The following is a 13,726-nucleotide window of genomic DNA, read 5'->3' on the forward strand; positions in this document are numbered from 1 at the left end:
TTGAGACTTCACCTAGATGGTCTCAATGGCCTTAGAGACATACATATTTCTTTTTTTTTTTTTTGCACTTTTTTGTATACTGTATTTTATTTTTTAAAATTTATTTTCTTTAATTTTTTTTACTCTTTTATTTCAGTAGGTTTTTGGGGAACAGGTGGTATTTGGTAACATGAATAAGTTCTTTATTGGTGAATTCTGAGATTTTGGTGCACATAACACTGTACCCCGTGTGTAGTCTTTTATCCCTCGCCATGCCTAACCCTTTCCCCTGAGTCTCCAGTGTCCAGTGTGTAATTCTTAGGCATTTGTGTCTCATAGCTTAGCTCCCACATAAGGGTGAGAACATAGGATGTTTGGTTTTCCATTCCTGAGTTACTTCACTTAGAATAATAGTCTCCAATTCAATCCAGGTTGCAGCGAATGTCATTATTTCCTTCCTTTTTATGGCTGAGTAGTATTCCATGGTGTGTGTCTCTCTCTGTGTGTGTGTGTGTGTGTGTGTGTGTGTGTGTGTATAAATGTGATATATATATATGTTGAATAGAAAATAAATATATATAAATGTTTTCTTTATCTACTTGTTGATTAATGGGCATTTGGGCTGGTTCAATATTTTTGCAATTGCAAATTGTGCTGCTATAATCATGTGTGTACAAGTATCTTTTTTGTATAATGACTTCTTTTCTCTAGGTAGATACCTACTAGGTACTAGATACCTAGTAATGATCCAGTAATGTAGATTGCTGGATCAAATGGTAGATCTACTTTGAGTTCTTTAAGAAACCTCCACACTGTTTTCCATAGTGGTTGTACTAGTTTACATTACCACCAGCAGTGTAAAACTGTTCCCTTTTCACCACAATCATGCCAACATCTATTATTTTTTGATTTTTTGATTATGGCCATTCTTGCAGGAATGAGGTGGTATTGCATTGTGGTTTTGATTTGCATTTCCTTAATAGTTAGTGATATTGAGCATTTTTCCACATGTTTGTTGGCCATTTGTATATCTGCTTTTGACAATTCTCTATTCATGTCCTTAGCAACATTTTTGATGGAATCGTTCATATTTTCTTGCTGATTTGTTTGAGTTCTTTGTAGATTCTGGATATTAGTCCTTTGTTGGATATATAGATTGTGAAGATTTTCTCCCACTTTGTGGGTTGTCTGTTCACTCTGCTGATTATTTCTTTTGCTGTGCTGAAGCTTTTTAGTTTAAGTCCCATCTATTTATCTTCGTTTTTGTTGCATTTGCTTTGGGTTTTTGGCCATGAAGTCTTTGCCTAAGCTAATGTCTAGAAGGAATTTCTAATGTTATCTTCTAGAATATTTATGGTTTTATGTCTTAGGTTGAAGTCTTTGATCCACCTTGAGTTGATTTTTGTATAAGGTGAGAAAGGATCCAGTTTCATTCTGCTCCACGTGGCTTGCCAATTATCCCAGCACAATTTATTGAATAGTGTGTCCTTTCCCCACTTTATGTTTTTGTTTGCTTTGTGGAAGACCAGTTGGCTGTATTTGGCTTTATTTCTGGGTTCTCTATTCTGTTTCATTGGTCTATGTGCCTATTTTTATACCAGTACCATGCTGTTTTGGTGACTATGGCCTTATAGTTTGAAGTTGGGTAATGTGATGCCTCCAGATTTGCTCTTTTTGCTTAGTCTTGCTTTGGTTATGTGGGCTCTTTTTTGGTGCCATATGAATTTTAGGATTTTTTTTCTAGTTTTGTGAAGAATGAGTGGTATTTTGATGGGAATTGCATTGAATTTGTAGATTTCTTTTGGCAGTATGGTCATTTTCACAATATTGATTCTACCCATCCATGAGCATGAGATGTGTTTCCATTTGTGTCTTCTATGATTTCTTTGAGCAGTGTCTTGTAGTTTTCCTTGTAGAGGTATTTCACCTCTTTGGTTAGGTATATTCCTAAGTTTTTTTTTTTTTTTTTTTTTTTTTTTGCTGCTGTTGTAAAAGGGGTTGAATTCTTTATTTGATTCTCAGCTTGGTCACTGTTGGTGTATAGCAGAGCTACTGATTTGTGTACATTAATTTTGTATCCTGAAACTTTGCTGAATTCATTTATCAGTTGTAGGAGCTTTTTGGATGATACTTCAGGGTTTTCTATGTATATGATCTTATCATCAAACAGTGACGGTTTGACTTCCACTTTACTGATTTGGATGCTCTTTATTTCTTTCTCTTGTCTCCTAGCTCTGGCTAGGACTTCCAGTACTATGTTGAATAGAAGTGTTGCAAGTGGGCACCCTTGTTGGCTGTGGGTTTGTTGTAGATGGCTTTTATTACCTTAAGATGTGTCCCCTCTATGCTGATTTTGCTGAGAATTTTAATCATAAACGGATACTGGATTTTGTCAAATCCTTTTTCTGAATCTATAGAGATGATCATATGCTTTTAATTTTAAATTCTGTTTATGTGGTGTATCACATTTATTGACTTAAGTATGTTAAACCATCCCTGCAACCTTGGTATGAAACCCACTTGATCATGGTGTATGATCTTTTTGATATGCTGTTGGATTTGTTTAGCTAGTATTTGGCTGAGAATTTTTGCATGTATGTTCATCAGGGATATTGGTCTGTTGTTTTCTTTTTTGTTATGTCCTCCCCTGATTTTGGTATTAGAGTGATAGTGGCTTCATAGAATGATTTAGGGAGGATTCCCTCTTTCTCTATCTTGTGGAATAGTGTCAATAAGATTGGTACTAATTCTTCTTTGAATGTCTGATAGAATTCAGCTGTGAATCCATCTGGTCCTGGACATTTTTTTGTTGGCTTTTTTTTTATTACTATTTCAATCTTGTTCCTTGTTATTGGTTTGTTCAGAGGTTCTAGATCTTCCTGGTTTAATCTAGGAGGGTTGTATGTTTTTGGGAATTTATCCATCTCCTCTAAGTGTTCTAGTTTATGCATATAAAGTTGTTCATTGTAGCCTTGAATAATCCTTTGTATTTCTGTGGTATCAGTAGTAATATCACCTGTTTCATTTCTAATTGAGCTTATTTGGATCTTGTTTTCTTGGTTAATCTCACTAATGGTCTATTAATTTTATTTATATTTTCAAAGAACCAGCTGTTTGTTTCATTTATCTTTTTTTTTTTTTTTTTTTTTTTTGCTTGTTTCAATTTCACTTAGTTCTGCTCTGATCTTCATTATTTTTCTTCTGCTGAGATTGGGTTTGAATTGTTCTTGATTCTCCAGTTCCATGAGGTGTGACCTTAGATTGTCTACTTGTGCTCTTTCAGACTTTTTTATGTAAGCATTTAATGCTATGAACTTTCTTCTTTGCACCACTTTTGCTGTGTCCCAGAGGTTTTGATAGGTTGTGTCACTATTATTTTTCAGTTCAAAGAATTTTTTAATTTCCATCTTTATTTTATTGTTGACCCAACAATCATTTAGGTATAGGTTATTTAATTTACATACATATGTTTGCATCGTTTTGAGGGTTCCTTTTGAAGTTGATTTCCAATTCTATTCCACTGTGGTCTGATAGAGTACTTGATGTAATTTTGATTTTCTTAAATTTACTGAGACTTGTTTTGTGGCTTATCATATGGTCTGTCTTGGAGAATGTTTGACGTGCTGATGAATAGAATGTATATTTCTGCAATTATTGGATAGAATCTGTAAATATCTGTTAAGTCCATTTGTTGTAGGTTATAGTTTTGGTCCATTGTTTCTCTGTTGACTTTCTGTCTTGATGACCTGTCTATTGCTGTCAGTAGAATATTGATGTCTCCCACTATTCTATCTTCTTTCTTAGGTTTAGTAGTAATTGTTCTACAAATTTGGAAGCTCCAGTGTTAAGTGCACATATATTTAGAATCGTGATATTTTCCTGTTGGATTAGTCCTTTTATAATTATATAATGTCCCTTTTTGTCTTTTTTACATGCTGTTGCTTTACACTTTGTTTTGTCTGATATAAGAATAGCTGATCCTCTTTGCTTTTCATGTCCATTTGAATGGGATATCTTTTCCACCCCTTTACCTTAAGTTTCTGTGAGTTCTTATGTGTTAGGTGAGTCTCCTGAAGACAGCAGAAACTTGGTGAATTCTTCCATTCTTCTATTCTGTATCTTTTAAGTGGAGCATTTGGGCCATTTACATTCAATGTTACTCTTGGGATGTGAGGTATGATTCTATTTGTTGTGCTATTTGTTGCCTGAATACCATTCTTTTTTTCACTGTGTTATATTTATATAGGTCCTGTGCTTTAAGGAGGTTCTATTTTGGTGTATTTTGAGGATTTGTTTCAAGATTTAGAGCTCTTTTTAGCAGTTTTCATAGTGCTGGCTTGGTAGTGGTGAATTCTTTTAGCATTTGTCTGGAAAACACTGCATCTTTTTTATTTGTGAAGCTTAGTTTCTCTGGTTACAAAATTCTTGGCTGATAATTGTTTTGTTGAAGGAGGCTAAAAATAGGTTCCCAGTATCTTCTTGCTTGTAGGGTTTCTACTGAGAAATCTGCTGTTGATCTGATAGATTTTCCTTTACAGGTTACCTGATGCTTTTGCCTCACAGCTCTTAAGATTCTTTCCTTTGTCTTGAATTTAGACAACATAATGACTATGTGCCTAGGCAATGATCTTTTTGTGATGAGTTTCCCAGGTGATTGTTGAGCTTCTTGTATTTGGATGTATGGCTCTCTAGCAAGGCCAGGAAAGTATTCCTCGATTTGTCCCTCAAATATATTTTCCAAACTTTTACATTTCTCTTCTTCTATGGGAACACCAATTATTCTTAGGTTTGGACATTTAACATAGTCCCAAGCTTCTTTGAGGCTTTGTTCATTTTTTTAAAATTCTTTTTTTTTTGTCTTTGATGGATTGGGTTAATTGGAAAGCCTTGTTTTCTAACTCTGAAGTTCATTCTTCTACTTGTTTGAGTCTATTGCTGAGACTTTCCAGTGCCTTTTGCATTTCTCTAACTGTGCCCTTAATTTCCAGAAGTTGCAAATGTTTTGTTGTTGTTGTTGTTGTTGTTGTTGTTGTTTTTGAGATGGAGTCTCACTCTGTCACCCAGGCTGGAGTGGACTGTTTTTTATTTATGATATTTCACTGAAGAATTTTCCTTTCATATCCTGTATCATGTTTTTTATTTAAGTTGACTTCACCTTTCTCTGGTGCCTCCTTGATTAGCTTAATTTCCCTTCTGAATTCTTTTTCTAGTAATTCAGATATTTTGTCTTGGTTTGGATCTATTGCTGGTGAGCTGGTATGATCTTTTGGGGGTGTTAAAGAATCTTGTTTTGTCATACTACCAGAATTGTTTTTCTGGTTCCTCCTCATTTAGATAGAGTACATCAGAGGAAAGATCTAGGATTCAAGGGCTGCTGTTCAGATTCCTTTGTCCCATGGAGTGCTCCCTTTATGTGGTGTTCTCCCCCTTCCCCTGGGAATGGGGCTTTCTGAGAGATGAGCTGTAGTGATTGTTTTTGCTCTTCTTTGTCTAGCTACCCAGTGGGCTACCGGGCTCTGGGTTGGTGTTGGGGAGTGTCTGCAAAGAGTCTTGTGATGTGATCTGTCTTCAGGTCTTGCAGCCGTGGATGCCAGCACCTGCTCCAGTTGAAGTAGCAGGGGAATGAAGTGGACTCTGTGAGGGTCTTTTGTTGTGTTTAGTGTGCTGGTTTTGTGTTGATTGGCTTCCAATCAGGAGGTGGCGCTTTTAAGAGTGCATCAGCTGTGGCCCTATAAGTAGGATGCAAACTTGCCCTAGGGACACCTGGTTAAGTATTCAGGTTTCTCAGGTGGTGGGCAGCTACATAGCGCTCCCAAGAGATTATGACCTTTGTCTTCAGCAGCCAGGGCTGGTAGAAAAAGACTAACAGGAGGGGGCAGGAATAGGCATATCTGAGCTCAGCCTCTCCTTGGGCAGGGCTTGCTGTGGCTGCTGTTGCAGGTGGCGGTGTGGTTCCCAGGCCAATGAAGTTATATTCCCAGGTGGATTATGGCTGCCTCTGCTGAGTCATACAGGTCACCTGGGAAGTTGGGGAAAGCCGGCAGTCACAGGCCTCACCCAGCTCTCACCTAGCCGGCAGTTCTAAAGGCCAATCTCACTCTCACCATGCCCCCTCAACAGCACCGAGACTATTCCCAGGCAGTTGGTGACTGTGGCTGAGAACTTGCCCCAGACTATGTGCTTCCCCACTGAGGAAGCAAGCTAACTCACAGTGTTTCAGCATCTCAGGGAGTCTGCAGCGGTGATCCAGTTCCTTTAGAGGGTCTGTGGATTATCTTGGCTTTCCTGGTATATTCCTGTGGTTGTTCTTGGAACAAAAGTTCAGGATGTGAGTCTCCACATCTGCTCTGTCCCTTTGAGTGGGAGCTGCAAGCTAGTCCTGCCTCTTATCTGCCATCTTAATCCCTGTATCCAGCTTATTATTATTATTATTATTATTTTGAGATGGTGTTTCACTCTTGTTGCCCAGGCTGGAGCGCAATGGCACGATCTCAGCTCACTGCAACCTCCGCCTCCCAGGTTCAAGCGATTCTCTTGCCTCAGCCTCCGGAGTAGCTGGGATTACAGGCGTGTGTCACCATGCCCGGCTAAGTTTGTATTTTTAGTAGAGACGGGGTTTTTCCACGTTGGTCAGGCTGGTCTTGAACTCCCGACCTCAGCTGATCTGCCTGCCTTGGCCTCCCAAAGTGCTGGGATTACAGGTGTGAGCCACCACGCCCGGCTCAGCTCATTATTTTTTAAACATAGCATGTAAGAAGCCTTAGGGGCCTAGTTTTAGATGCTTTTAATCAGAAAGAAATGACATTTGTTTCTGCCACACATCTGAGAGTATTACTAACTGGGACACATTTTAATTTACTTTCTGGATGTGGGATTTCTCTGACTGTACCTATAAGTGAACAGACCTATGATTGTGGATCATAAATTCTTAAAAGGTGGCTATCATCAATGGTAATTTTTTAAAAATTTTTTCTTACCACGTTGATAGCAGAGATTTCCTTATAAGCTCACATTATTGGAAGTTATATATATATATATATATTTTTTTTTTGGCTCATTCTTTTTTTTTTTTTTTTTTTTTTTTTTTGAGACGAAGTCTCACTCTGTGGCCCAGGCTGGAGTGCAGTGGCACAATCTCTGCTCACTGCAAGCTCTGCCTCCAGGGTTCACACCATTCTCCTGCCTCAGCCTCCTGAGTAGCTGGGACTACAGGTGCCCGCCACCACGCCTGGCTAATTTTTTGTTTTTTTTTTTAAGTAGAGATGGGGTTTCACCGTGTTAGCCAGAATGGTCTCGATCTCCTGACCTTGTGATCCGCCCGCCTCGGCCTCCTAAAGTGCTGGGATTACAGGCGTGAGCCACCGCGCCCAGCCAGCTCATTCTTTCATTAATGCTGAAGTCTGGATTCTTTTGGAAATCCAGTGAATCCTATGCACTTTTCTTAAAATGTTTTTGTGTACATAAAACACATAGGATTATAAATTATTACAATTACATTGAAGTACAGTCATCAAATACTAAAAACAGTGATATATTAGTATATATGCTTCTTATTCATGCATTAAATAATAAGATCTAGTTACTTGCCTAAAACTATTACAAAAGAGTAATGAGTGTAGTCATCATTTCAAGGTAGTTTACAACACTGTGATGTGATATGAAATATCTGATTTCTTTTGGAGGCAAAGGTAGTTACTGGTGAAATTACTATGCTCTGTTGCTTACCTTTTGTAATTGAAGCCTATTTTAATTAGAGGCATATGAAAATACAGATGTAATTTTTTTCCCCATATAAGTTCACAGATTCCTTGAATTCTTGCACAAATATTAATATTTTGGGAGTCCACAGACTCCAGGTCAAAATTTCCGGAAAGGACTAATTTCTTGTTGCCTTTTTCATAATCTGAAAACTCAAAGCTCCTGGTTACCCTGACCTTACAGTTCTCTCTATGAGGATTCTGTTACTTTCTTTATTTTTTATTTTTTATTTATTTTATTTTTTTTTGAGACGGAGTCTCACTCTGTCGCCCAGGCTGGAGTGCAGTGGCGCGATCTCGGCGCACTGCAAGCTCCGCCTCCCGGGTTCATGCCATTCTCCCACCTCAGCCTCCCAAGAAGCTGGGACTACAGGCGTCCACCACGACGCCCGGCTAATTTTTTTTGTATTTTTAGTACCGGCGGGGTTTCACCGTGTTAGCCAGGATGGTCTCCATCTCCTGACCTCGTGATCCGCCCACCTCGGCCTCCCAAAGTGCTGGGATTACAGGCGACAGCCACTGCGCCTGGCCGAATTCTGTTACTTTCTTAGAGATCAACACTATATTTCAAAGTTTGCTTTCGTTGCTTATACTGTAGCTTCTTATATTGTAATAAGAAGGCTCTTTTTATTATATAGGCGTGGTATAGGCTGCCACACTGCCAAAAGTAGAATTGTATATTTCTTCCCTTATTATAAGATCTTGGAGGACAGAGACCTTTTCTTTTTGTTGTTGTTAAACCCACAAAAATGGGTTCTACGTGTCATAGATATTCAGCAAATATTTGTTGAATGGATAAGTAAATAAAGACATGGCTGTGGGACCCAAAGGTGACCTCTGACTTCTCACTTCCCAAGGCCATCTATGTGAACTATCAAAAGAAGCATATAGTTTCAAGGTTTTAAAAAGCAATCCTCCTGTGAACACAGCGTGACCTATGTTCACAGTGAATATTCTATCTGGATCTATATATGGAGCTAATGAGTGAAGCGTATACCAGGAATGGCTATATATAGATTTATCTAGCTCCAGAGAGCAAGGGAGATTAAAACAGAGCTTTTATGCAACTTTTGAAAGATGGTATCATTTCCTGCATTTTTAATTACTCTAATAAAATCATTTTGAAAGAGAAACATTTTACAAGACTGTCTCCTAAACACTCCACTTTAAGTACCATACTTCCATCTGAAGATAGATTAGTTTTCATTTTTGTTTAATATCTTAACCTCAAGGGCAAAATCTGCCAGACTTCTCACTAATGCTGCTTCCTCATAAGCTGCTGCCAAATGGAAGGTGACTGATTATAAATCAAACTTTGGGACAACTATAGTACAGCTTCCCCAACTGTCACTATTTCAAGCTACTATTAAGAACAAGAAAAAGCACCCAGATGTGTTAGTGACATTTTTCGTTATGAAAGATTAAAATGGGATCCTTGCTATGTTTGGTTCCCAGTGTAATTAGTCTTTCCTTTATAAAATATCACTGCTGTATTATTCCTTCTGCCGTTTGTTGAGAGCAAATTATATATTACTTTTAGCATTTCATTCACCTCTTATCTACCAAAACGTGGTGCTGAGTAAGAACTGGACATTTTGTTCAGGATGTCTGATACACTAGAATGCCAAGTCTGTAGAAAGAAGACAAATGTGAGCACAAAGAGAGAAACCACAACAGAACCATTTCAGATTTATCATGCTCAAATGTAATGCACTACGCACATACACATCCATTTTAGAGAGGAGAATGGTGGATAGCTCACACACCTGTCCAGCTAAAAGATCAGAAAAGAACCTTTTCCTCTTCGTTTACTGCCAAATATATAGGTACCTTACTGTTGTGAGAGTTCCCAGGCAATCTTCAGGATAAAAAAAAAAAAAAAAAGAGGAGAGAGATGGCAAGGATATTTCCTGGCTTTTTAATCTTTTGCCTTTGCCACATTTCCCTGGATTGAGTGTTGGTCAATGAGTGACTAATCTTTGGTAAATCATCAGTGGCTGAGATGAAAAGTGAGCAGGGCTAGTGGGTATTTGCTGTGGGTTGAATGTGTCCCCCCAAAAGATATGTTAAAGTCCTAGCCCCCAGGACCTGTCAATGTGACCTAATTTGGAGATGTAATCAGTTAGTATGAGGTCATTCTGGATTAGGGTGGACCTTAATCCATTGATTGGTGACCTTTTATGATGATGAAACTCTGGACACAGAGACACACAGGGGAGAAGGCCATGTGAAGACGGAGGTGGAAGTGGAAGCGATGCAGCTACAAGCCTAGGAACTCCAAGGACTACCGGCAACCAGCAGAAGCTGGGAGATGGATTCTCCCTCAGTACCCCAAAAATAGCAACCACATCTGCAGACACCCTGGTTTCAGACTTTTCATCTCCAGAACTGTGAGAGAATCAATGTTTGCCTGTTTTTTTAAATTTTAAGTTCCAGGGTACACGTGCAGGATGTGCAGGTTTGTTATATAGGTAAACATGTGCCACGGTGATTTGCTGCACCTATCAACCCATCACCTGGGTATTAAGCCCAACATGCATTAGCTCTTTTTCCTGATGCTCTCCCCCCTCATCCCACCCCACCCCCCCACAGGCCCCAGTGTGTGTCATTCCCCTCTCTGTGTCCATGTGTTCTCATTCTTCAGTTCTCACTTATAAGTAAGAACATATAAGTGTTTTTTGTTTTGTTTTGCGGTGTTTTGTTTTCTGTTCCTGCGTTAGTTTACTGAGGATGATGCCTTCCAGCTTCATCCATGTCCTTGCAAAGGACATGATCTTATTCCTTTTTATGGCTACATAGTATTCCACGGTGTATATGTACCACATTTTTTAAATCCAGCCTATTATTGATGGGGATTTGGGTTGATTCCATGTCTTTGCTATTGTGAATAGTGCTGCATTGAGCCTGTGTGTGCATGCATCTTTGTAACAGAATAATTTGTATTCCTTTAGGTATATATCCAGTCATGGGATTGCTGGGTCAAATGGTATTTCCAATTCTAAATCATTGAGGAATTGCCACACTGTCTTTCACAATGGTTGAACTAATTTACATTCCCACCAACAGTGTAAAAACATTTCTATTTCTCTGCAGCCTCGCCAGCCTCTGTTGTTTCTTGAAATGTCTGTTTTAAGTCAACCAGTTTGTGGGACTTTTTTTACAGCAGCCCTAAGAAACTAACACAGTATTAGTCATCAATAAAGTGTTTTCTGGCTTCAATGATTTTTGATAATTCTTTGTGTTATTTACTTTGTTTGGTCTAAAACCAAGAATGCCAGCAACTATGCCTCAAAGTCCATGGGGCTTTTTGGGTTGTATCTACATTCGCTTTCTTTGTGTTGTTTTTTCCAAAAAAATATTATTATTAAAAATAAACTTTAAAAAACAGGGGCCATTCTCATCTTGATTGATCAAAATCTTCTGGCCCCTGCCCCCACCCTCTTCATTGTCAGTGAATTTTTAAACTCCCCACACATCTGGCATACACATATTGTTAAGGATAATGTATGAACAAACAAGAAATAGAAAAAGAAAAGCTTGCAGGGTCTCAAATGTTAAATAACAATGGATACACACTGTGAATTTCTGAGAAGAGGTCTTTTGAATGATCCATGTGTTGGCCTGTGGGCTAAGGCATGATTTCTTCCTAGAAGCTTCTCCCAGGGCAGGCACTTTCTGATCCAGAACAGTCAGAGATTGCCCTATTCAAAGCATCACACTCTGGTGCCGTAGTGTTTTCTCTTAGCTGACACTCTTTCTCTATCTCTGGTCTATCTCCTTTGTTAGATTCAAGGGGTCCTAGAGCAGGGTCCCATTTTCATTCCATCTTTGTATCTTTGTTTTCAGCATCCTGCCTGGCAAAGAGCAGTTTCTCAGCCTTGGAATGACAGAGTCTCTGCCCTCCAGGGCCCCACAGTACAAGCTGGCACCTCTTCTCAAAGCAACATTGACAAATGGCAATGGCTTTCTATTTGAGCCCACATTTGTTAATGCTGCTTTTAACAAGAAGTGCCAGCATGCTATACTGGCACACACAGCACCATAACAACAAAATAAAGTCATCTGCACAAAACTAAGATTATCCTAAGATAAGCCCCTACAGCCGGGGAGGGAAGTGCAAGAGAGGGGAGTCAAAATATTTACAGATACGTTTTAGATCCAGAAGATATTCTCACATTTCTGGTTATTTACATTGTTCTACCGAAATCTCTCTCTAGCAGTGACTTCAGTTAGCTGTGGATGCCCTGGCTTTAAATTAGTCATGGTGTTGTTATTGACTTTTGGGAGCAAATCTAAGCTACTCCGTATTTTAGCTGATCTGTCAGGCATTGCCAGCAGCTGCAAATCAATACGATCCCCCTCACCCTACCATACTCGTTGGCCAGGATTTACTGGCTGCGGCTGTTCTGTGTTAACGCAGCTCTTGGAGTGGGCCTGTCCTGGAGATGATTATTTATTTTCAGGAGGTGGCCTTCTCACAGGAGCCCATCCATCCCATGTCAGCACACCTTGTCCACCAGCTGCTGTGGCTGCTGTGGGCATCTTGCCAGCCCAGCACTGCCAGCAGAGAGTGGCTTTCTCTGCTTCCTCTAATCCCCCTTCCCCTTCCCTGCCATGTGAATTTCCATGATAAATCACCCAAGAAAGATTTCCAATGCGTTTTGACAGGATGAGACTGTGTGATTCAGCTTGATCTCGTTAAGAGCCCTATAGCCAAATCCTCCAAAGCACAGCAGGCGAGGAAAGCTTGCAAATTGTGGATGGCTTGTCTCTCCAGCTGAGGGAGAGACTTAACTGACACTCTGCTGCCTTTCTGCCCTTGACCTAAAGGAGGGAAGAATATTTGCTGCACATTTTCATTTGCAAAGTCCCTGTGTTCAGTGAAGGCATTCTTGTAAGAGCTGAGTACCCAGGCTTCTAAAGAATGTATTAGCCCTCTTCATTCATTCATTTATTCATTCATTCATTAATCCATTCATTCATGCTACAAACATGTGCACAATAAATATAACAGGCACTATGGTAAATGATAAATAAGACACCAATTCATGCTCTCCAGGAACTCACAGTGTAGGGATAAATAGACATACAAATAGACGATTAAACACCAGTATGTAGAGTGCAGTGGTATAAAAAAGCACCAAATAGTACAACAAGAAGGGGCATCAAATTGTGTCTGGAAGGGGTGGTGATGAGGAAGAAGAGCTTCCTGGTGGAAGTGATGCCTAGACTAATTTTAAAGGATGAATGGGAGTATTCATCTGGGGATTTGGGGTGCTGGAAGTGGGATGTCTTAGACAGGGAGGGAAGCCATGAGTAAAGACTTTCTTATTAATCTCTATTGCCTTCAATCTCAACTTGCTCATGGGTTGTGATTCTCACATTAGCTCCTTTTGTGTGGTTCGTCCCCAGTTGTGTGTTAAGTGACTGTCTGACCGTAGCTTGCCCTGACTCAGTGTGGATTTCATTGCATGGACCATATTTTAGCATCCTGCTTAAATAATCTTGGCCATCTTCAGGTTTTTCCTTGATTTGGGGTTTACTGCTGTCCTCTTGACATTGCCAGCTTATGGTTGTTTTTACTGACTATGCAACCAATTGAAAAATAAAACACATTTCCTTGGAAACAGGATGACAGCAACCTCTGTCCAGGTTGACAGGAAATTCAAGGCTGGATTTATGTTTCTCTATATTTTTATTTCCAACCACCTTACACATAGGAGGGGCTCAGTATATACTTGGTAAGAGAATGAACGAATGGGTGGCCCAAATAACAGGCATCTCTCTTCTTCACTGTCTGTAATTATTCCAAGAGCAGAGAACAAGGATAGCCATGCCATTGTTATAAAAATTCAGCTTCTCTGCACAGTTAGAAGGAGGAACATGTAGGATTTGAAGGAGCCTGAAGTTGGATGACCCATGATACGCATGACATGGAAACCATACAGAAAGGAGAGTGCCCAATAAATGCAGGCACCTTGAGCATAGGG

The 13,726-nt window shown here is 39.5% G+C and overlaps 2 annotated features.

The window, feature by feature from the left end:
- Window positions 5,198-6,116: an enhancer, noted in NCBI's record as "OCT4-NANOG-H3K27ac-H3K4me1 hESC enhancer chr11:108976670-108977588 (GRCh37/hg19 assembly coordinates)". NCBI's record gives its function as "activates a minimal SCP1, AML or CMV promoter by ChIP-STARR-seq in naive H9 embryonic stem cells {active_cell/tissue: H9 hESC(naive)}" and the evidence as "EXISTENCE:reporter gene assay evidence [ECO:0000049][PMID:30033119]".
- Window positions 8,517-8,811: a silencer, noted in NCBI's record as "tiled region #3267; HepG2 Repressive DNase matched - State 9:DNaseU". NCBI's record gives its function as "represses a minimal TATA promoter and a strong SV40 promoter by Sharpr-MPRA in HepG2 cells {active_cell/tissue: HepG2}" and the evidence as "EXISTENCE:reporter gene assay evidence [ECO:0000049][PMID:27701403]".

Source organism: Homo sapiens, chromosome 11 (assembly GCF_000001405.40).
Source record: "Homo sapiens chromosome 11, GRCh38.p14 Primary Assembly".
Classification (NCBI taxonomy): Eukaryota; Metazoa; Chordata; class Mammalia; order Primates; family Hominidae; genus Homo; species Homo sapiens.